The sequence below is a fragment of the Homo sapiens genome, chromosome 20, assembly GCF_000001405.40.
Source record: "Homo sapiens chromosome 20, GRCh38.p14 Primary Assembly".
Classification (NCBI taxonomy): domain Eukaryota; kingdom Metazoa; phylum Chordata; class Mammalia; order Primates; family Hominidae; genus Homo; species Homo sapiens.
Genome location: NC_000020.11, coordinates 21,789,766 through 21,813,547, shown reverse-complemented (window position 1 = coordinate 21,813,547; position 23,782 = coordinate 21,789,766). Strand labels below are relative to the sequence as shown.

General features: G+C 44.7%; 2 annotated features.

The window, feature by feature from the left end:
* Window positions 2,750–3,555: an enhancer, noted in NCBI's record as "H3K4me1 hESC enhancer chr20:21790631-21791436 (GRCh37/hg19 assembly coordinates)". NCBI's record gives its function as "activates a minimal SCP1, AML or CMV promoter by ChIP-STARR-seq in naive H9 embryonic stem cells {active_cell/tissue: H9 hESC(naive)}" and the evidence as "EXISTENCE:reporter gene assay evidence [ECO:0000049][PMID:30033119]".
* Window positions 3,556–4,362: an enhancer, noted in NCBI's record as "H3K4me1 hESC enhancer chr20:21789824-21790630 (GRCh37/hg19 assembly coordinates)". NCBI's record gives its function as "activates a minimal SCP1, AML or CMV promoter by ChIP-STARR-seq in naive H9 embryonic stem cells {active_cell/tissue: H9 hESC(naive)}" and the evidence as "EXISTENCE:reporter gene assay evidence [ECO:0000049][PMID:30033119]".

The following is a 23,782-nucleotide window of genomic DNA, read 5'->3' as shown; positions in this document are numbered from 1 at the left end:
TAATATAATGCTACTCAACAATAAAAAGGGTGAAATAATGTACACTTAGCAACGTGAATGATCTCAGAACAATTACGCTGACAAAAAGGACAAAACAGAACACACATTTATTCTTCCATGTTTATGAGGGTCTAGAACAGGCAAAACTAATCTGTGGTGTAGATGTCAGAAGAGTGGTTGTGTCTTGGGCATGGACGGATGAGAAGGTTCATGTGGAACTTTCTAGAAATATGGGATTGTTTCTGGATAGGAGTGTAGGCTACACAGTTGCCTGCATTTGTCAAGCTGATGGAGGTGCACACTTAATATGTGTGCACTGCATTGTAAATTATACCCCCATGAAAAGTTAATATTTTTAAAACAACAAATGTTTATTATGTTATTGCTATGCAAAAGCTAAAAATATTCAAAACAATAAAGGAAAACTCTAATTGATATAGCTATTGTCATTTTGTCCACTTAGCAACTTAACATGAGTAATTAGAAATTAAAATTATAAATGTGAAAAAAAAAACCTGTCCATTTATACCCTCCATCCCACTTGTTTCTGTAAAGTGCACAAAGCTAGTTTTGTTCAGAAATAGTAAATGAGCTAGTCAGAGCTCCAGGACCTGCTTATACCTGACTGCCGTGTTTTCATCTACACCAATGAGACACTCCAGGTATTGGAATGGATGGAGGGAAGTCTATGCCTGGGTTAAAGAAGGTGAGGGTGCAGTGAGATTCTTTCTGATCCTAGGCTCTCAGCACAGCCTGCTTCTTTTTAATCCCCCAAGGTTCTGTGGTGCAGCACTCTTTATCTGCCTTTTCTTTCCTTTCCCCCATTGGTAAAAGATAGATACAGACAATTCTGAGCAGTAGGGAGAGATGGATGTCAAGGGTCTGGACTTTCAAAAAGGTAGAGCTGTTTGGGAAAGATTTCTAACAGCACTGGGCTAGGAGCCAGGCAGGCAGGAACTGTCAGGAGCTGTGTACACAGACACTTCCAGTAGGAGGAATGAGTGGCTTTTCATATTGTAACTTGGTCACTCCAGAACCTTCAGTAAAGACTCATCAAGGGTTATGGCCTGGTCTTGGCTGAGCTGTGAGGATGTAAGAAGTTTGTGTAAAGCCTGGCTGTGAGGGGCAAATGGGGGAGCAGCAGACCCAGACCCACAAGCTCACCGACCTCGGGTGGGCAAGCCACAAGCAACAGCATCCCTTAATGTCCTGTGCACCTTGCTCTGAGAACAGACGTCCCAGACTGACCCCTGAGTGTACCCGAGCTCCTGCTCCCTCAGAGGGAGGGAGAACATCCAGGACCAATTTATATAAACACAAAATCAGCCCTCCAGATCCGTAAAGGACGACTCAGGGAAACAACTCGGCTTCCTGCTAACCTTGCACTGCGAGAGCCACTGGGAGATCGGTCAGGATTTGTGTATAAACAGTAGCACCTGTGACATGACATTCGCATGTAGATGTTACAACAAAAGAGGAAAGATGATGATAGTTTTCACTTGAGCTCCTCAAGTTCTTTCAGTCTGCATTATAAACATTGCATTAGGGGTCTCAGAAGGAACCATCAACAGGCACTGAGTAAATGAGGGCATTTGTATGTCAACTCTTCCAGAAGACCCTTGCAGTCCACACTATTGGTGCTCCATTTGTACACCCTTGGCTCTCACTTTCCTGTACCAGCTGCCACTTCCTATGGCAAACACATGTGACTTTTGGCTAGAAGGCATTCTTTGGCCCCAGCAGCATGTGTGGCCCACATGCAGGGCTGGACAGAAGTGCCAGGCAATTGACATGCCCAGGAGCCAAGCTTAAACCATGAATAATGGGAGCTGGTGGAGAAATAGCCCCCAACCCCCTGCTCTTCCATGGAACCACTCTGAGGAGTGTTCTGCCCACTCTCCCAGAAGTCCCCGCAGGACTGAGCCTAGCTGCCCAGAGTGGTAAGCTCTTCACCACTGCCAAGGTTCCTCCCCTTCCCTGCCCCACTTCCCCACTCCCCTGCTCACACCCCCTGGGACCCCTTCATTCAAATCCTTGTCTCGGATGCTGCCCCTTGGGAACCCAAGTTTAACCAACCTCAAATTGTCCAAGTTCCCTACAGTTCCAAAGACAATTTTTCTTTCATTTTTCTAAGCATGATGAGGTGAGATTTACATAAATAATTCAATAAAACTATTAAATAAAGACGAGTAAAGGAAAAATGAAGTAAGATAGTTCAGTGAAGTCCAGGGTAGCATCAGTTCCCAAAAATGTGTTCACAAAGGCTTAAGTTGGGTGGCCTACAAACCTGGAGCTGAGCTTTGCAGGCAGACAAATGCTGTTATAGGATTCAGGGGAACCACAATTTTTTTTTAATCTGGTAGCTCAAAAGAAAACCATTTTTCTTCTGCCAGAGGCTCCTACAAGGAGTTTCTCTTGTGGTGTCTCATCAAAGGGTCTCTGTATGAACAGTACACAGTGTCTTCATGACACACAGGCCCAATGAACACAACGCACACTCCACATGATGCTACCCATGGGCAGTCCTCAGCAAACTCAGACCCAAATGCAACCCTGCACGCATGGTTCTCCAGGACCCAAAGCAAGAGTATGTCTGTACATGGCTGTCTGATGATGGCTCCAATTTGGGGTAGATTTAACCTATCGGAAATGGTGGTTTTCAAACTGGGTTCCATTTGGCCACTTGGGAAGGTGGCAGTGGATGGACGGTGAATCTGACATTCAGAACCCTTTCTCCCAGCAGCTCCACCTAAATCTGTTTGTATATTAGGTTGGATATAATGCCCCATTTGAGGAAAGGATTATGTCAATTTTTAAAACATGAAAATGACAAAAAGTAAAGAAGTCCTTCTTATCCATCCCAGTCTAGCGCTGGATGAAAGTCAGGCAGCACATTTGAGGCTACACTCTCTGGCAGGAAACTAAAGAAACAGCCTCAGAACACAGAGAACTGGCTCTGGCCATTCCCCTGGGACATGCCAGCCCCAGGGGCCTCAAACCGGAGCCTTATCTCCAGGACCCACAAAACTCTAGACACAGCCAGGACCTGCCAGGGAGACCAGCCTCCTCCGGCAGCCTGGGCGCTGCTGTTTCCAACACACAGTGATAACCCGGAACCCATCCTCAGAGTTACTCAGAAACACGCTCTGGAGATGGTGCCTTCCGAAAGACCTCTACTCCCAAGGACCCTGGGGACAAACTTTGCAAGAAGCTGTGCAGCCAGCCGAACCCACACCAAGCCATGGCCCTGTCCTGCTGGGGTGCAGCCCAGATGGGCCCCTCTGCAGGCACCTGCATGCCCATGCTGCTCTGAACTTCTCCCCATATCTCAACACACCGCGTCCCCTCTTCCGCCTCCCCAGAGCCCTCGGGAACCTCCTTTCTAGGCCGTCACTCTGCTCTCCATCCGCAGCCCCTCCCTGGTCCTAGCCCTCTCTGAGGCCTGCTGCAGGTCCTCGAGTGCCTCATCTGTCTCGGGGCGGGGAGGTGAGAGCAGCTCCCTTGTCATCCACAGCATCCCGCTCGGGTCCTGACACTCCTCCTGCCCCTCCCACACCCATCTCGCCCAACAGGAGACCTGGCAGCTGCGGACTGAGTGTGTCTCCCGCATTCGCATCGGGAAACCGAATCACCCATGCGCTGGTATTAGGAGGTGGGGCCTTTGGACGGAGGTTATGTTTTGAGGTCGGAGCCCGTGACTGGGATTCGCGACGGTATAAAGGAGGCCCCAGCCTGCTCCCTCGCCCACGTGAGGGCAGAGAGAAGGCGCCACCGGGAACCAAGATGCAGGCTCCACCAGACACCTAACCTGTTAGCACCTCGATCTTGGACTTTCCAGACTCCAAAACTGTGAGAAATAATGTTCTGTCGTTGCTAAGCCACTCCGTCTACAGCATTTCGTCCATAGCAGCCCAAACAGAATAAGACCCTGGAGTGCCCGCCCCGACGCCCTCAGCCTCTGTGGCCCTTTTCTGGATGGAGGTCCCGGAGGACGGCGTCAGCCCCAGGTTCTCCGCAGCCAGCAGATGACAGAGGTGTCGGGAGCTCCTTCTGCCTGACAGAGCCAGGGCTGAGGCTCTGCACACAGGCCCGGGAGTAGCCCCTCCATCCTTGTGCTCTTCACTGCCCTTCCTCCCTTCTCTCCCTTCCCTGCCAGCCCTGCTCCTACCCTGTGCCTCCTGCAGCCATCCCCCAAATAAACCGCTTGCACCCAGGACCTTGTCTCGAGGTCCGCTTCTAGGGAACCCCCAGGAAGCCCCAGCTCCCGCCTTTTACGCGAGCTGTTACGGCTTGCTGCTCTCTCGCGCCCCCTGGTGGCGGCTTCGGACTGAACCCTCTGCTAGTCCTTTGCCCACCGCCGGCTTCCCCTTGGAACACGGCATTTCTGGGGACCACTAATCCCACTTCTCATCTGCAGGTCCTGGGCTGCTCACCTCCAGCGACCTCCCTCTCCATCCCACCTTGGCAACTCTTTCACTTGGCTACACCTTGGATCTTGCCATCCCTAGAACCACCGAAATTAAAATTCACACTTCGACTCTTACCGGAAGCCCCTTTCCTGCCCCCTTAGTCGCTTGGTTGCACCCACCTCGCTTTTCCTTCTGCTCACTGAGAGCTCAACTTCCTCAACTGCAGCAGGCCCTTCTTCTCCTGTGTTCTGGGACCTCCCAGTCTATCCCATCAGCCCCATTCCTGTCCATCACATCAACTTTCTTGCCTCACTTTTATGGCACGTACCCAGTGAGACCCCAACCACTAATCAATCCAACTGCTGCTACGTGGACCCAAGCCCACACCTGCTGACAACATCGTAACACCTAGTGGGCTGGAACCACCATGTTTGATGATGGTTGATGGTTGATGATTTCCAGCATCAACCTCAACCAGGCCCTTGACACAGCCCAGGGCTCCCTTTGTCATTCCCATTTGTCTTTGACAAAGTGGATCCTTTGTCATTGACCCACTTCCTTCAAATAGTTGGCCAGCTCATAGTGCTCCTCTCGGCTCAATCCTAAGACATCACCACCCACTCCTCCCCACCAACAGATAACAACCCCTGCTACTAAGCAGACAGTAACAGCCTTCAGAGGCAGACCTGTCAGCTCCCTGTTCCAACCCAGTCTACGTGCCTGGCTCAACACCCCCCACATCCCATGCATTTCACAAATATTTATTGCACACCTATTAGAAACCTGGCACTATGCCAGTCACTGTGGCTCCTGGAGCTCCATCTCCATGCCAGCTCCCTCCTGGAGGCCACATCACCACCCAGGTGGCCACAGGCACCTCCAGCTCCACAGACTCAAAGCGAACTATCTGTCCTCCCAACCTTGTCTCCATCTACCCCACGGCCAAAACCAGAAACTTGGGAGTCATCTTTGGCCTAACTCCCCCAATTTGCCAGGCCACCTACCCCCAAGTCTGGTAGATTATACTACCCAGATGGCCTCCCACCAACTCCCATCTCCATCATATCCCACCTGTGTTACATGTTCAGTCTCCCAACGTGATCCCCTCCAATCCATTCTCCTTGGGGCACTTGAAATGACTTTTCTAAAACAGAGGCATCTGGCAAGGAGATGGCCTTGAAGCGTCTCCAGAATCTCTTGAGTGGGAAGAGGGGTGTGCTGAAGCAGGAAGGAGGGAGAAATGATTTCCTGTCCATCTCAATTCAGGTACAGTCATGTCCCCAAATTCTAAGCCATAAAGCATGATTTTCCTGGAAGTCTTTCAAAGCATCTCTGCACATGGCCCACCGTCACCCTAAAACCTTATGAATAATTAGCTACTGAGTGTTGGGAAAGTATTTCTTGTGTGGCCACAGATGTGGCTATGATGCGATAGGGGTAAAAAAAAAAAAAGAGAGAGAGAGAAAGAAAAACGCGTATTTAGATGAAGGTAAACTTTAGTTCAAATCCTGGTTGTGCGATTCATTTGCTAAGCCTCAGACTCCCCAGTTTAAGGAAAATCCTCCTTCATGAGGTCAGATAAGATTATACATGAGAAATGCGTTGCACAAGGCCTGGCTTAGGCTCTAAATAATCAATAAAATATCATTCCCTCCATGCTTGCTCTGTGATGCTGTTAAAACAGTGTTGATTATATTTATAACCTATTTGACTGTTCTTCCATATGTTTTCTTATGGTTTTATTCATTTACAGGATCCTTCAATAAAACCAAAGGATAAAAATGTAAGCTGTTACTATGTTAAAGGAGTGGATAGTATACGTGTATATACACATATGATCATATGAATATACATCTGGCTCCTTGATATTTTTGAGATTCCAGATGTGACGCATATGCCTACACACACATACACACATACACAAAACATTTAACATATTTATATTCTAGTATCACAAGAAGGAATATGTCACCATATGGCACTAGGGAGTCAAATAATTGCCTACACCCATGTACCATGTTTCAGATGTGCCATCTGCTAAACAGTGGAAGTGTGTGCTGAAAATATGCATCGTTATATTTGCTTGACAAACTGAATGGCAAAAATGTCCCAGTTGGATGAGCAAGAATGTCAGTGGTATTTACAATGTAAAAGAAAGTCTGCATTTGCATGGGGTCCTAAGTTTTCTCCCATAACTCACCTGAACAGGCAGGAGGCTAGAACACTGGTCCAAAGATGGGCATGGGGCATGGTGGGACTGATCCCATGATGATTAAGTTTATGTGTCAACTTGGCTAGGCTATGGTACCCAACAGCTGTTTGGTCAAACACCAGTCTAGATGTTGCTGTGAGGGTGTGTTTGGATGAGATTAACATTGGACTCGATGGGCTTTGAGTAAAGCAGATTCCCCATCACACTGTGGGTGGACCTTGTCTCATCGGTTGATGGCCTTAAGAGAAAAGACTGAGGTCCCTGCATAAAAGGAGAAAATTCTCCCTCTGGACTGCCTTTGGATTCAAGCCTACAGGACTGCCCTGCAAACTTCAGACTTAACAGCCACACAGTTGCATACATCATTTATTTAAAACAGATCTCTCTCTCTCTCTCTCTCTCTCTCTCTTTCTCTCTCTCTCTCTCTTTCTTCTCCCGCTCCCCCTATTGATTCTGTTTCTCTGGAGACCCTGACTGACAGATCATCAGGCTTCAAATTTGGAACTTGAGATGCAGAAAAATGAAAGTCAGGGGGCCACCCCAACCAAGACATCAACAGGAACGGGCTGGGAGAGAAAGAGATCCTATTAAAGGAAACAATACCAGGGAAAATCAAGCCATTTTTCCCCTCCATGCAAATATTTATTTTATTGCAACAAACTAAAACAATACATGAGCAAGCAGAACAGTGATTCTCTCATTGGATCCATTCAGCAGGAATTGTCACAATAAGATCATTAGCCTTCTCCACCCTTTCTTTCAGATTCCCTCTGCTCTCTGAAGTTTGACAATCCTGGACTGGAAGAAATGGAGAGGTTTGGTACTGCTCAAGGGCAGTGAGGAGGAGCTGGAGGAAGGAGGGTGTAAGAGACAGACTAAAGGAGGGGCTTGGCTGGGGACAGAAGACCAGAGTCATTTTCCATAGGCTCTGAGATTCCAGCCCAGAAGGTAGTGGGGAGTCACTGGATGTTGGAGGCCAGGGAGTAACCAGATTCAAATGTGCATTTTTACCTACAATCAGCTCATGTAGGGAGAGTCCTGAAGTGGGGGACAGTGAGAAAACTGTTCATCTATTCAAGGATGATCAGTATCTGATGCAGACTTGTGACGGTGGGAATGAAAAAATGAAGTGTGGATGGGAGACCTGGTGAGGTAGGAGCATGAGGAAGCTGATTGGATATGAAGGGAAAGGGAAGAGAGAAGACAAAGATGACTGGGAGGTACCCAGCCTGCAGGAAAGCAGCATCACAACAGAAATGGGAGACCAACTGGAGGAATTGGTGTGGAAGGGCTGTGAAGGAAGAACAAAATGCAAGAATTACTTCAAGTTGAGACATACAGACTACTCTACATCTTCTAAATCTACAAGCACCCTGTGATCCAGGGAATCTGCTTCTAGGTACATACCGCAGGGAAGTCCCCACCCCGGTCCATCGGAAGATGTGAACCAGGATGTTCACCCAGCATTGTTTGTACCTGTGGGAAGCTGCAGGTGATTGAGAGACGGAGAACTAATGCAGTAAGGAACAGTCAGGAATACCATGAAGAAGTTAATGCAACCAACCAGGTGCATCGGGCGCAACAAGGGTAGGTCTTAAAGCTACAGTGTTGAGTGAAAAAGCGTCAGGAGCCAGGGGACATCCCCCATACACATCCATGTCAAATAAAAATGCCCTTCAGAGCTAGCAGGAAGGCAGGAAAGAAGGACACACATCAAACCTGTGAGGATGGCTGCTGAGGAGAAAGGAGAGTAAAAAAGAAGCAGGAACAAGAGAGAGGACGGCGCACTCCAGGGACAACAACAGGCAAGCCTCCGCGCCTGAATGGATTTCCCGCCCCCATCCACCGCACGCCCTGCCTTGGCCCTGGCTACATTTGCACCTGCCAAAATTCATTTTTATGGATTAGACTGCTAACTTTTTAAAGGATGTTTTTATAGGCAATTATGTTGTTTCTGCTTCCCTGCAGAATGTCTCTCGATAAACACAGTGTCCAACAGTCATTAAACCTTGTTGTTGCATTCACTTATGGGCCTGGGGTGGAGCCAAAAGTCCCCAAATAGCTGAAGAACATCCTTTTTTCTTTATAGACTCAGAAAACCAATCACAAAAAATATAGGCTAGGCACAGTGGCTCATGCCTATAATCCTAACACTTTGGGAGGCCAAAGCGGGAGGATCACTTGAGCCCAAGAGTTCGAGACCAGCCTGGGCAACATAGTGAAACCCCACCTCTACAAAAAATAAAAAATTAGCCATGTGTGGTGGTGGGCACCTGTAGTCCCAGCTACTCATGGGGCTGAAGTGGGAGGATTGCTTTAGCCTGGGAGATCAAGGCTGCAGTGACCTATGATCGCACCACTGAACTCCAGGCTAGGTGACAGAGTAAGATCATGTCTCAAAAAAAAAAAAAAAAAAAAGCCAAAATACTGTCCAAGACTTTTGTTTGAGCCAATTAGATAGAATCATGGCTGTGCTTCCATGCACATGTCCAGACTCTACCTTAAGCTCTCATCCTGGACTGTTCCTGAAAGTAGCAACAACATTTTTCTTGGAGAACTGAGTCATGGTGAAGAAGATGGGGAGAAACCCAAAAGATGAGCCTCAGTGTTGTTGGGTCTGCATTTGCGTGTGGATCTGTAACCTGGACATACAGTTAGCACCAAGATTTTTGGCAAACTGGCCTCGAATGTTGGGGAAGAGAATCTCCAGTCTCCTCCCTCCACAGAGAACACACACACACACACACGCATGCATGCACACACAGGCAAACACGCACATAATGCACACCCATGCATACAAGCACACGTACATGTATATGCATGCACAAGTGCATAAACATACGTAGTCATTCATGTGCACGTGCACTTACACATACACACACACATTCACATACACACACATGCACATACACACACACAATTTTATTTATCCATCCCAATTTCTATTCATTCTTTCAATGAATGACCTCAGGATTTGTCCTCAGAATCATGGAGTGGTTTTCTTGAGATACAAGTAATTACTCTTGCAGTTCACTCACAGAGCACTGTATTACCTGATATAGTAATCCGTTCATCATCAGTAACGTCTTGGAGTCTTCAAATAGGGTCTTGATCTTAGGGGAAGTTCATATCCTCTTATTAGAGTGCTTGCTTATTCCCATTATCCCCAGCAATTCAAAAGCCTCCTCCTGAACTTCTTCTCACTTCCTTCCCTCTATCTCTAAGGATATATTCACCAGGCTTCTGCTGCAATAATGTTGAGTAATGAACAACTTCCACATCGCATTTACCTATAAGAGCAAACATTTATTCCATATGCACAGGTCCCAGCCACACCTTAGCTGATCTCAGCTGAACTCCAGGCTTTGTTTTAGGTTCCAGACTGTTCCATGTGTCTTCATTCCAGGACACAGGTTGAAGGAGCAATGCCTACTCAGGGCATGATTTTCCCATGGAGAAAGCTGAAGCTCAAAAAGCCAAGCCAAATCACGCAAGCACATTTGAACCCTCTGGCTAGACACAACTCACGCCTCTGCTCTCGGCTCATTGGCCAAAGGAAGTTCCATGAGGGAGCTGATGTCAGAGGGTAGAGTGAGATGTACCTTCTGTCTGCTGTGGTGGGAGGCACTGCTAAGTCTCCAGGCAAAGGTAGAAAGGACAGCCATTACATGGAGGAAATGAGAATTTGAACCGTAATCTAATCTACCTCAAGGATAGATTGATATTGAAACTTACTGTTGCATTTACCCTGGGCTTGATTTTGAGGACATTATTTATTAAATCCTTTCTGTGAGGACCCACAGGAGAAATTTCTCTTAATCTCAGGACTAGGATAGTTATACTACTAGCAAAAGATTGTTTTCTTTCAGTAGACATCCTGCATCATGTCTCACCCTGTGACACTTCCCTTCACTATTTTATTTGCTGCTAGGAACTTCAGCCCACCTGCAGCATCCACGCATAACACAGGATTTCACCCTGGCTTCATCCTAGTGCTCCTACCTCCATTTTCCCTTTACATTCATTTATCACTTTCTTATCATTTAGTTTGATTTGGATTAATTTTGTAAGCCATTTCTTCTTATATAGTGAATTTATAGTCATTTATGCATCAACAAATATATTTTTAAATTATCTTTCTGTGACTATATAACACAGGCACATGCTTAGGAAACCTAAACAATACAAATGGAACAGAGAACAAATGACTTTCTCTCCCACCCTGCCTCCTGGTATCCAATTCCCAACCCCAGAGTTAGCCACTGTACCATATTCAAATTCTGTGCACATGAGGGAGTCTTTCTTTTTTTTCCCCAGAACAAAAGTTATAACTCCCAGGTTTTTTTAAATTAAACTTTCAGTTCTGGGATACATGTGCAGAACATGCAGGTTTGTTACATAGGTATACATGTGCCATGGTGGTTTGCTGCACCCATCAACCCATCATCTAGGTTTTAAGCCCCGCATGCTTTAGGTATTTGTCCTAATGTTCTCCCTCCCCTTGTCCCCAACCCCCTGATAGGCCCCGGTGTGTGATGTTCCCCTCCCTGTGTTCATGTGTTCTCACTGTTCAACTCCCACTTATGAGTGAGAACATGCTGTGTTTGGTTTTCTGTTCCTGTGTTAGTTTGCTGAAAATGATAGTTTCCAGCTGCATCCATGTCTCTGCAAGGGACATGAACTCATTCTTTTTTATGGCTGCATAGTATTCCATGGTATATATGTGCCACATTTTCTTTATCCAGTCTATCATTGATGGGCATTTGGATTGGTTCCAAGTCATGGCTAAAACACCAAAAGCAATTGCAACAAAAGCCAAAATTGAGAAATGAGATCTAATTAAACTAAAGAGCTTCTGCACAGCAAAAGAAACTATCATCAGAGCGAACAGGCAACCTACAGAATGGGAGTCTTTCTTATCTGTTAGAAGAATTCTGGTGGAATTTCTGGGACAAGGAAATCCATGCATTTCAAATTTGGAAAGATATTGCCCAATTGTTTTCCAAAAACCTTGTACTAGTTTACACTCCAATTAACACAACCTCACCAGCACTATGCATTCTCACTGGTTACCTCAGTGTATTTTCAAAGTTTTCATCTCTGTTCAGCTAATAAGTGATAATCTTTTAAAATCATTTACACTTCTCTTTGCGTTCATAAGCTTTGACCTTTTTATTGACTTAAAAGAGCTCTTTGTATATTAAGGAAATTAGTTCATAAAATAGCATATCATCATTGCACCTTCAAAGCATTTTGAAAAGAGATGAATAGATAAATGCATAGGTAAGTAAAATAAACAGAAAACGCGCATTTAAAACACATACTAGGAAATGAGCTAGTCTTTGGGCCTTATCAAGAAATCTTTATTTTCTCATACTTCAGTTATTTTTCTCACTCCTCACTTGAAACCCGTACATTTTGGTACCGTGGTCCCTCTCAGGCAAGACAGAGCTCCTTACTCAGCAAGTGGAAATGAGGTTAATGAACTCTCCAGGGGAGAAGCCTGCTGCTTTGACAGCTGTCTGGCTGTATATTAATACATTTCTGAGCATTCTGAGCATTTGTCAAATACTCTGGATAAAGATTGCATTTTCAAAAATCAGCGCCTAAGTAGACAGGCCCCATGTTAAGTCAATGGCATGTTTCCAGGTAATGTGAGTCTGTAATCAGTTTGCCCCTCTCCAGCAGGGCCAGCCTCAATGTGCGGGTAGGAGAAAGGAGAAAAGTTTTTTTAACGTGGGCATGCAAGTGCCAAACTCACATCTGCCTGCAATCTCGGCTCCCTCAGATCCAAGTGCTGCTGTGGTCACGGCCAATTCACTTGAAAGCCAATATGTTTCCAACCTCACATTAGTAAGAAAACAAAGTTTCTAGTCCTTTCCCAGTTTCAGTTAGGAGCGTTTTTGTTGTTTTGTTGTTATTCAAAAAAGAAAAGTTCTAACACAAATTTGGCTTATAGATCACAGCGGCTGTGACGGGTTTGTGTGTGAGCGAGTTCAGAAATCTTCATGCCACCTCTGTTTTTCCAAAAATCTAAATCATCCTTGATGCTTTAAAATAAAGCAATATCTTCAGGATTTAAAAAGAGCATTCTTGCAATGTTTCTGGTATTCTTAACCATTTGCATATAAGTTATGTTTGTTTAAAACAGTATGAAAGCATCTACAACTTCAAATATTTGAGTCCATTATTTATAGACTATTAACAGCATTAAACCACGTGCAAATCAATTGCAGTAGATTGAATTTTGGAGGGGACTTGTTTTTTGCTAAAAATTGAATGTTTCTGAAAAACCTGTGATAATGCCAAATAACTAAATCCTGGTTGCCACTTTCCAGCCATTCAGTTTACCTGACATTATGCCCTTATTTACTTACTTATACATACCTTGCTCAAGAAAAAAATTTAACAATAACATTGTAAAATGGTCATGTCCAGGATTCAAGGTTCTTGCCAATCCATCACCACATAGTTCCATTTGTCGACGGCCTACTGGCCTGGTGTCTGCGGGCGTCTGTTGATGTCCTCCTCTACCGGTACATTCCTCTCGACGTCCAGCTACTTGTGTCTCTGCCTGCTAATGTCTCAGGGTTTTTACAGGCACAGGATGGGGGCATGGTTGGCCAGAGCGGTCTTGGGAAATGCAACATTTGGACACAAAAACAGAAATCCCTGTCCTCACCTAGGTCCATGGGCACAAACCCAGGGATGGATTCCTAGCCAGGGACCATGCCCTTCCCTTCCCAGCACTTCCCTGCTCCCCTCCTATATCAAAATAAGGTTCTCAGATCACTTTCTAATTAATGTAATAACTTAATTTTTTTGTTGCTAGAACAATAAAATATTGCTTTACTAAATTTAAAGCTCAACAAATATCCCAGAACATTTCACAGTATATAAATAGAGTTCAGGCAATGTGATGAGAGGAAACACACTGCTTCATCCAGCACATCCTTCAGTGGACTGCAAATAATCTACTCTTCTGTCAGATGTGGTAGCTACTTGGTTCTAGTTGAGTCTCCCTTTCCACTTGCTCTTTTGTTCTAGTTTCAAAGACTTTTCTAGTCAAAGTCACGTTGCACTGTGGAATTTGGGTTAGAAAAGCAATGTGTCATACACTTCATTTAGTTTTTTATTCAATAGAAAAAGTGAAATTGCAATTACTACCTCCTCATCTCAAAGAAACATCAAGAAAATAAGGTCAAAAGTGTCTAAATTATTTTAGATAGTTACTAAACTATAAAAGAATTATTCTTCTTTACGATTCTGAAAAATCCAGTAAAATCATGTTTTGCAATGTCCTCAATATTTAAAGAATCAAATACTCGCTCATGAAATCTAAAATAAATATATACAGAGAAAGAAATGTATTCAAAGCCAAACTCTCCTTATATATCAATTATGTTTCAGCAATAGAATAGCAACATTTTTTCTCTAAACTACAATTTAAAATTAGATATCACCTATTAGAAATTCAATGGCACATGAAGTAAGTTCACAAAACTCCCCTAATAGTGGTTGGTTTTGAAACAAATTTAGGTAGTTAAAGTAGGAAATCTATTGTATGGTTAAGAAATGTATATCTGACACTGCTAATGCTCTGAACATCCAATGATTGGAACTTTAGAGTTGGAGGGGGCTTTCGGAGTCACCTGAAACAACCCTCTCTGTGGTGTTCCTGATGGTGAACCAGTCTGTATTTGAAATTTTCATGTTTAAAAAATAAAGAATTTAATGTTTGGCTCATAAAATTCTACATTCAGAAAAAAGACAGAACTCTGGTTACTACAGCAGTGACCCAGGTGTTGGATACCACATCGTAATGTCCTTGTCACCTGCTGGTCTTCCAGTGCCATCCTATAAGAAGGTGCTCACCCAGGACAAGGCCCCAAGCCCTCAAAGGAAACCCAATCAACAGTGGCCCAAGAGCCCCTCCCTCCTATCCCCAGAGCCCCCATTTCCTCTGCTTTGTCTCACATTTTCTGCTGCCCACCTGGCCCCAGGTTCATGTGTTTCTCCACACGGCCCTACAGCATCTGATCTTGGCAGTGTCCCTGTCACCAAGGTCACTGCACAAGTTCTGGTGTCCTGGGACCTCTGGAGCAAGGGTTGATGATTTCTCTTGCAACCCCCCACCTCTGGCCAGTGACACACTCCACCTGTCTGCCCTTCCACTGCGCCATTTGCTCAAGCCTGCATCTGGGACTCTTCCTAGAGTTCTCCCCATTCATCAACTCCCACCCACACCACACACACATACACACACACAGGCACACACACACAGAGACACACACACACGCAGCCACACACGCACACACAAACACACATAGGCACACACACAGGCACACACACATGGAGACATGCACACACACAGGCACACACACGCAGACACATACACACACACACACACACACACACACAGGCACACACACTGCCTCATTCAGCCCACAGGTTTTGATACTTCTAACTCCCAAATAGTCCCCAGCTCCCTCCTCTGGTATGGTTAAGAAATATATATCTGACACTGCTAATGCGCTGAGCATCCAATGATTGGAACTTTAGAGTTGGAGGGGGCTTTTGGAGTCATCTGGAACAACCCTCTCTGTGGCGTTCCTGATGTTCATCCTCATGGCGGCTGCCCCTGTCTCAGCCACTGCAATCTTAGCCCGTACTTTGCCTGAGTGTCTCTTGTGGACTCCTCACTTTTTGCCCTGCCTTCCCACCACCTGCTCTCCCTCCACAGCAGCCAGAGCCAAGTCCTTCCCTGCAGCCCTCCCTGGGCTCCCGCTCCCATTCCCACAGATCTTGAAGTATCAGCCCCTCACTGTGTCCTACAAAGCAGGCATGATCTGGCCCCTGCTGGCCTCTCAGACCCATGACTGTCCCTCTCCACCCATGTCCCTCGGTGGTCTCCCTCAGACCCTCACACTGCTACCTAGAGAGCTCCCATCCTCACTGACTTCAGGGAGGGAAAACAGAAACAAAATTGGCTGGTGTCTTAGCGCAGGCTGCCGTAACAAAATACCACAGACTGGAGGGCTTAAACAATGGACATTTATTGTTTGCTTTTTCCCAGTTCTGGAGACTGGAAGCCGAAGGTCAGGGTACCAGCATGGCCAGGTCCTGGTGAGAACCCTCTTCTTGGTTTGCAGATGGCTGCCTTCTCCCTATATCTTCACATGGCTGAGAGAGAGAGGGAGGGCCCCACCCACAGGACCCCACCCTCAGTGTTCCACACTCATACCCTCATCTAAACCTAATCACCCCGCAAAGGCCCTACCCCCTAACAATGTCACATTGGGAGTTCGGGCTTCTGCATATTAACTTGGTGGGGAGGGGCACAATTCAGTCCACAGTGGCTGGAAAATGCAGAGCTAGGGGAGTTTTTGCACTTTTTTTGGAGATGTGAACAAAATCTATATAAAACATTTGCAGGTACTTTATTGCTACTTTTCCCAGCTTTGCTCCCCTTCCACTCCTGAGGGTTCCCCTCCAAATGAAAGGCAGAGAATGCCAGACCTCTACTTCCCATCCAGAGTAAGAGCCAAAGTCTTCACAAGGCCTAACCTGATTGATAACTGATCTCACCTTCAGGCCCTCTCTGTCCTCAACTCGTCCCCAACACCCTGCTCAGCCCCACTTCAGGTACTGACCCTGACTCAGGCCTTAGGTTTTCTGATCTTTTGTGTTTTCTAATTGGGACCCTCCGTTACCAGACATCTGCATTGCCTCCTTAGGTCCTCCCTCCATTCCACAGGATCTTGTCTTAAAGGCATTTTATCTGAGGGTCTGCCCTGGGCACAACACCAAACTAAAACACCACTCCTGAACCTCTACACTCCCCTACCCTGCCTCGTTCCGATTCCTAAAATTTCTCTTTCCTGACACTGTGCATTTAGTTAGTAGTTTGTTTATTGCCTGTGTCTTCTCACTAAAAGGGAATGTATTAGTCCTTCTTCACACTGCTATAAAAAACTACCTAAGACTAGGTAATTTGTCAAGAAAAGAGGTTTAATTGACTCACAGTTCTGCATGGCTGGGGAGGTCTCAGGAAACTTACAATCATGGCAAAGGGGAAGCAAGGTGCGTCTTACATGGCGGCAGGAGAGAGAGACAGCCCACGCCAAAGGGGAAATGCCACACTTTTAAACCATCAGATCTTGTGAGACTCACTCACTATCACAAGAACAGCATGGCGGAAATCCACCCCCATGATCCAATCACCTCTCGTCAGGTCCCTCCCCTGACACATGGGGATTATAATTCGACTTGAGATTTGGGTGGGGACACAGAGCCAAACCATATCAGGGAAGCTCCGTGAGGGCCAGATTGTACTGGTTTTTTCACTGCTGGGTCCCCAGTGCTGGAGCATGGCAGGCTCTCGAGCAAGATTTATCAGGTGAGCAAATTTCATGAACAAACTGAAGAGCAGATTCAAGGAAATAGGAATTTGGGTCCACTTCTCTTTCCTCATTATTGGCAGGATTTTCAATTATTGGGGAGGTATCTGACTTGAAGTAAATTCTCTGTCAGGGAAGTTTCTCAAATTTCCCAGAAGCACTTGAGTCTACCTGAGTTCTCTTTGGTCATGGTTCCACTCAGTCAGTCTGCTCTGCACACACAACAGATGTCATTCCAATATCTGTCATACTTGATGCCCTCTGCTGGGCACCTGGGGCTGTGCATTCCTGGAGAGCTCTGCCAACCCTTGTTCTCTTGCTTGAGGAGTCAGGTCAGAACCCAAGAGAGAATGAGATTGTGACAGCAAGACATCATGAGGATGACGTGGGTTTGCTCTAGCCATATAATAACAAGTCATTTCAACATGTACTTGTATATATTTATTAACAAGGCTACATACTACCAATACTAGTGTTCTGAGATGCTCTTGGTAAAATCATTAGACCAAATGGCTTTGCACAGTCACCACTAAGATTCTGGTTTTGTTCTGCAATGACTCTCACTTTGACTAGACAGAATCAACACATCTCTATAAGCCCCAAATCACAGGCAGATCTGGGAGGTCAATGTGTAGCAAACAGCAGGTGCTCCTCTCCTACACCACTTCAGGGAATAGTGCCCACCTTCTCATCATCAGCACCAGTACACTTCAGCCAAAAGGACTTCCTGCACTATTTTCCTCCATGTGGCAGACCAGAAGAGCCTTTGAGAACAGCCCTCAAGCTCTGACTGACAGGAGTTGGGGTGTAAATACCCCAGCTCCCTCAGTCTGAGGCATGTCCCACACTATCTCCCAGGGTTTCCAGCTGGATGAAGCTCCAATGGCCCCAAGAGGTAAATGGATTGGTGCTGCACCATTATGGGCTGCCTTCTCTTTTGTCTCACTTCCCTGCACCCCTAACAGTGCTTCCTGAGATTGCCTCCCAATTAACTTTTCCTCTCTGCTTCTCAAGAAACCCAAACCAAGACAGAGTAATAGAAATATTGGAATGAGGAGGAAATGGAAAGGTCACCCAGTGCCATTCTACAAATGGGGAACTAAAACTCAAGAGATAATTGGTTCACCATGAATGCAATAAGTATTTGAGATTAGAATCCAGACTTCCAGATTCTTAGTCCAGAATTCTTTCCAGCATACCCTTATCTCCAGATACAACCTGGGCATGAGATAATCAAATGTCTACTTAGTATTTCTTTCTATTTATTTATTGTTTGTTTGTTTGTTTGTTTGTTGAGACATAGTCTCCCTCTGTCACCCAGACTGGAGTGCAGTGACACAACCACAGCTCACTGCAGCCTCCCAGGCTCAAGTTGTCCTCCTACCCCTGCTTCCTGAGAAGCTGAGACTACAGTGTGTTCCACCACGCCGGGCTAAATTTTTTTTATTTTGGTAGAGATGGGGTGCTTAGCATTTCATATCCTAGAATCTGTGACGCCCTGATTACAGTGTCATAACAAGTAAATGTTTTATGTTCACAGAAACATACTTTATTTGAAATAATTTCTATGCATTGACATATGTGAAATTCTTAAGGAAGTTGATTTCATCATTATAATAAATGGCAATTTCATACTTTTCAATATACTTCTTTTGAGATTTAGGGGTAAACTCAAAACCTGAGCATAAGTACACACAACAAAACAGGAACAGTTTTAAAAAGTGTAAGTGTATACCTAAGATAGCCCTCCCTCGGCCACATTTCCTAGAAAATCCAGTGTGAAAATATTCGAATTACAGCAAGAAATGGAATCTGGCTGGGATAGATGGATAGAAAATTGCATAAAGGAACATCCATGTGGAATAATGGTCAGACTTTGGAGGGGGAGTTAGGTTCAAGTCACTTGAGTAAACTATAGCAAATCATCCTCTATAGATTTCCAAATATCTTCACCTATTAAAATGGAGAAGCTTAGGCTAATGCCTTAATAGCACAGTTCTAAGTGTTTCAAATATTAACTCAGTTCAACTTCACAGCAACTCTTTGGGATAGGTACTAGTCTTACCACCATTTCACAGATGCATAAACAGAGGCACAGAAATGTTAAGTAGTTTGCCAAAGGTCACACAGTTAGAAAGCGACAGAGCTGGGATCTGAGCCCAGGCCCAGTTTGTGCACTTGGCCACTGCTCTTTACTGGGCTTCTGGGAGTGGCCTCAGCCTCCAAGGGAAACTCAGAAGCAAGAGTGCCTTGTAAACTATAAAGACACACCAAATGAATTACTAGAGCTGCTCAAAGCGCAAACCCACTAACTGATTTTACGGCAGTTTGAGTGCACAGGGGCTGGAGAAATTCATCATGTGGATCCCCGTCCATAAGCCTGGCCAGTCACCTCCTCAAACCCAGGTCTCTCCTCCCACCAGCAGCCTGAGAGCACCAAGTTCCTCAGCACTCTAGCCAGGAAGCCCAAAGGCTCCTTCAGCCCCTGAGGTAAGTGGTTTCTCCTCTCTGATTCCAGAATTCCTGCCTCTGGCAGCCATGTGCATCACAAAAATCATTTCAGAAGTCCAAACAGTAATATTGCTGCCACCAGAAATGAGCCGCCTAGAGAGAATTCTTTAGTGACCTGTCATCGATGAGAAGCCACTGCCAGCAGTCAGCCTGAGTGACCTCGTAGTGGTTGAAAATGCTTCCTTGGACTTCTAATTTATGGTTGGCTATATAGGTTCGAACTCCCCCTGCTAATGGCTTCCTTCTGTTTGTAGCATGCTTGGTGAGTTCAAAGAGTGATCATTGGGTGAAGAAAGTTAGAGACTTGGGACTGCTGTCTTGACTGGCACAGAGGTTAAATGGAAATTGGGACCTTAGAAAAGGTCAATGAAGTCTTAAAATAGTGGAGGGAAAGGGAAAGAATGTATTTTTGTGGGCAGTGAAATGATGCGATACTTGCCTTTCTTCTGATGTAATCTTGACACTAATTTTCCCATTTAATCCATGATCTCTTGATGTTCACTGCTCAAGAAGAGTTTGACAATAGTGTGGGTAATACGGAGGGCTTCCAAAAATAAAGCAGCAAATCATCTCAAGCACAATTCTATTGGGCTTTGCAATTAGGGCTACTTTTTGTTGCTGTGTTTGCATTTCTACTTTTAAAACATTAATGGGTTTTTTTTTTTTGTTTTTTGGTTTTGTTTTGTTTTGTTTATTCTCCAGTACCATTCCAATTGCTTCAGGGGATTAAATTCTTATAAGACACAATTTCTGCCCAAATGGAGGTAGCAAAGAACACATAAAATTTGAAAGAGGACATTGCTGAAGACAGAATTTCAGAGACATCACATTCTCCTGAAATGGGATGTTCCATTCTCCCTAAGTCATGTGGTGGGAAAAGCAAAGACGTTGGGGTCCAGTTGATCTGCACTGGAATCCTGACTCATCTGTCAGCTTGCTGTGGGGCTTTGTCAAGTTACTAGAACTCACTGAGCCTCAGTCTTCTCACCTGTAAAATGGGATCACCACGTACCTTTAAGAGGCATTTGGAAGCGCCAATTAAATGACTTATGTAAAATGTGCCTACCATGCCCTTCACTCTTTTGAAATTATTTCTTAATGTTCCATGACAGTTGTAGAGAAATAATCCACTAGGCTGAAGCTTCACAAGGACAGAAACTCTGTTTCTCTGTTTCCCAATGCCTGGCAGAGTAAGGGCTCAAAAAACGGGTCTGTCTTTACTGACCTCTCACTTCCACTCTCACAGGACGCTTGTTCCTTGGAGATGCTGAAGCAGTAGCTTCCCAACACTCCCAAAGCCACATGGATGACCCATGGCAGCTGGACCCCAGGTCACATGCCTCACCATCAGGTGTGGCATCCATGGCTGCTTCATCAAGTCAATGGCTGATTAATAACTGCCAGAAGCAGGGTTCATCAATAACTGTCATCTACTTCTCTTTATCAGTGTGTTCTGGGAGGAAATTGCTGTAAACAAATTTGTGAAGGAAAATCAAATAGCTTATATCAAATTCCAACTAAATTTACAACTAAATTCAGAATATCGTTGCAATATTGTTAGAGACAGAGAGAGAGAAGAAGAATAGCCCTTGACATGGAGTGAGAAAACCTGGCTTCTAGTCCATGCCATTTGGAATTGCAGCTTTAGAAAATCCTGTGTGCCCTATTATCTTGTAGCCAACAAAATATAGTAAATTTGCATGTCCTAAAAATACTTAGCTACTGCACTGCTTATACCTTGGGATATGGGGGTGGCACACAGAGCAATATCAAATTTCCTAAAAATGGAAATTTCCAAATTCACAAGCCTGGGCTGTACTTTAGGCTACTTGGATTGTAGTTCCTAATATACACTCTCAGCCATGGGCCACTGAGCTCCAGTGTATAATGCCACCCCAGTTGCCAAGAAAGTAAGACTGACCTTGGCCCTGCCAGGCTGACTTGCTTGAGTTACCCTGTGGGGTAAACTGTATTCTCTGCTTGCAACCCTTGCTTCCTTCCCACCCTTGCCATGAGTCACTGTGAATGGACTTCATTTTCTCCGTTGATATTGGGCTTGTCTATATATTGTGCTTTGGCCAATAAGATATGGGCAAAAATGACAGTGTGCCAATTCTGAGCCCAGGGCTTCAGAAACATCACATTTCTGCTCACCCTTATTTGGCTTCAGCAACAACCATGAGCTGACTACATCCTGGGTCATCAAGGGTCCCAGAATGACAGACAGATGGAGGAAGCCTGAACCCACTGGGAACTTGAAGCCAAGATCAGCTCTCTGACCTAGAGGCCCAAGATTTTTAAAGAATCAGTGATTGTTGTTTTATGTTGCTGAGATTTTTGATGGTGTTTATTACACAGCATTAAACACCTCCCAAAGCTAAGAATTACATGAATTTGCATGGTCTGTGATTTAGTGCCTCCTGTTTTACCTTCAGCTCCATCGCCAGCCTTATTGATTTATCTGACTTGATATTTACTAAGAACAGAAAGATTTCCCAGGGACACTGTCAGGATCTGAAAAGAGATTGTCCCATAGCTCTCATGTCTAAGAATCTCCTGTGAATAGACAACAGTTTGACCAACTCATAAATGAATGTGGGGGAAAAAGGGAACTGTCCCTGGTTATCGTCCAGTCTTGTTCAAGAGACCTGGATATTTCTCCATTGTGAACCCCACAGCTCCAGGATTTGAGACTAAAACATGTTTCATTTACACCCACAAGATTTCATGGGAAATGAAGACATCAGGCTTCTACCTTGTTTTCATAACTCTGTGTGAAACCCAAATCTTTCTAACAACTTTTGTATAAACTCTTGCAGTGATTGGATGCAAATCTAGACAATCAGGGCCAGAGAGAAATCTGGAAATGGTCCTGATGCCTCCTGCCCCTTCCGCTCTGCTGTGGACTCAAGTGTGGTTTCTGGAAAGCTGTTCTCTCACATGTGCCTCAAATGCCTCTTTGGTCAGAGCAGGAAGCACAAGGAAAGCTTTTGGGATTCGGATGGACAGACAGATAGCTTGGTATGTTGTTTCTTTGGGGTTGCCCTTAGCAACCCGATTAAGGAAATTGCTTGCAGGCAGTTTTCTGGAAGAACATGGCCCGGGGCAATAGAGGAGAAAGATTTTGAAAAGACCATCTTTGGAGCTTGAGGGGGTTTGGCAAGACCACGTCTCAGCAGGAGCCCCACTGCTTCTGCAAAACACTTGGAGAGCACACAATATTGTTGGCTCATATCGATGTTTATACAGTGCTGACTTCAGATATAAATACTTCCCCACTTTTCTAAATTATCCTATGTCATTTTATGAGATGCTAGTTGCCATTTTCAATCTTCTTCCAGCATTTAAAAGTGGGAGAAAAAAGGATATTATACTCTGCAGGCATAAAAAATGAGAACAGATAATATTTATTGAGCACTTACTAAGTACCCAACACTGCCTTGTGTTTTCGTATCTCATTTAACCCACACAAAAATCCTAGGAGATAGGTACTATTAGAAACTCTTTTTCCTATAAGAAAACTGGATTTAGACACATTAAATAACTTGGTTGAGTCTATAAGGCTGGAAATGGAATTGGTACTTTAAGGTCCCTGTCATCCTGACTTTAAGATTGGTTTCCTTAATAGCTACTTTGAGTTAGAAGAGTGTCCATGAATTGTAGAGTACTGGCCTTTAAATTCCATGTGTCATGAAATGAGCTCCTTAAAGTTAGATGAGATTAACATGAAATCAGCACAAGAGAGCGCTACCTTCTGCAAGTGTCAGTGATAGCCAATAATCACAACATCATTTAATTGATTCATCAATCAATTCATTAATAGGGAGCTGAGCACCCTTTGTGAGCATAAGTCTACAACTGTAGGCTTGTTCATGACAAGGGTGTCACAGCTCCATCCTGTAACTTACCATCTGATATTAAAAATGTATTAATAAATTTAAGTAATAAATTGTATGATGGTTATTTTTTAAGTTTCCTTAGCTGTTAAAAGAATATGGTGAAATATTTATAGTAGAAAGATATCTGAGATTTACTTCAACATAATATGGAGGAGTGACAAAGCTGGGTGCTAGGGATGTAGGAGTTCACAGGCTATACTCTCTATTTTTGTATATGTTTGAATATTTCTACAGTGACAAATTATTTTTAAAAAAACTTATCACCTAATGGGCAGGCCTAATAATTATTTGGAAATAAGTTGAATTGAGGGAAATAAGGTTAATACTTAAAAGATAGACCCAATTTACAAG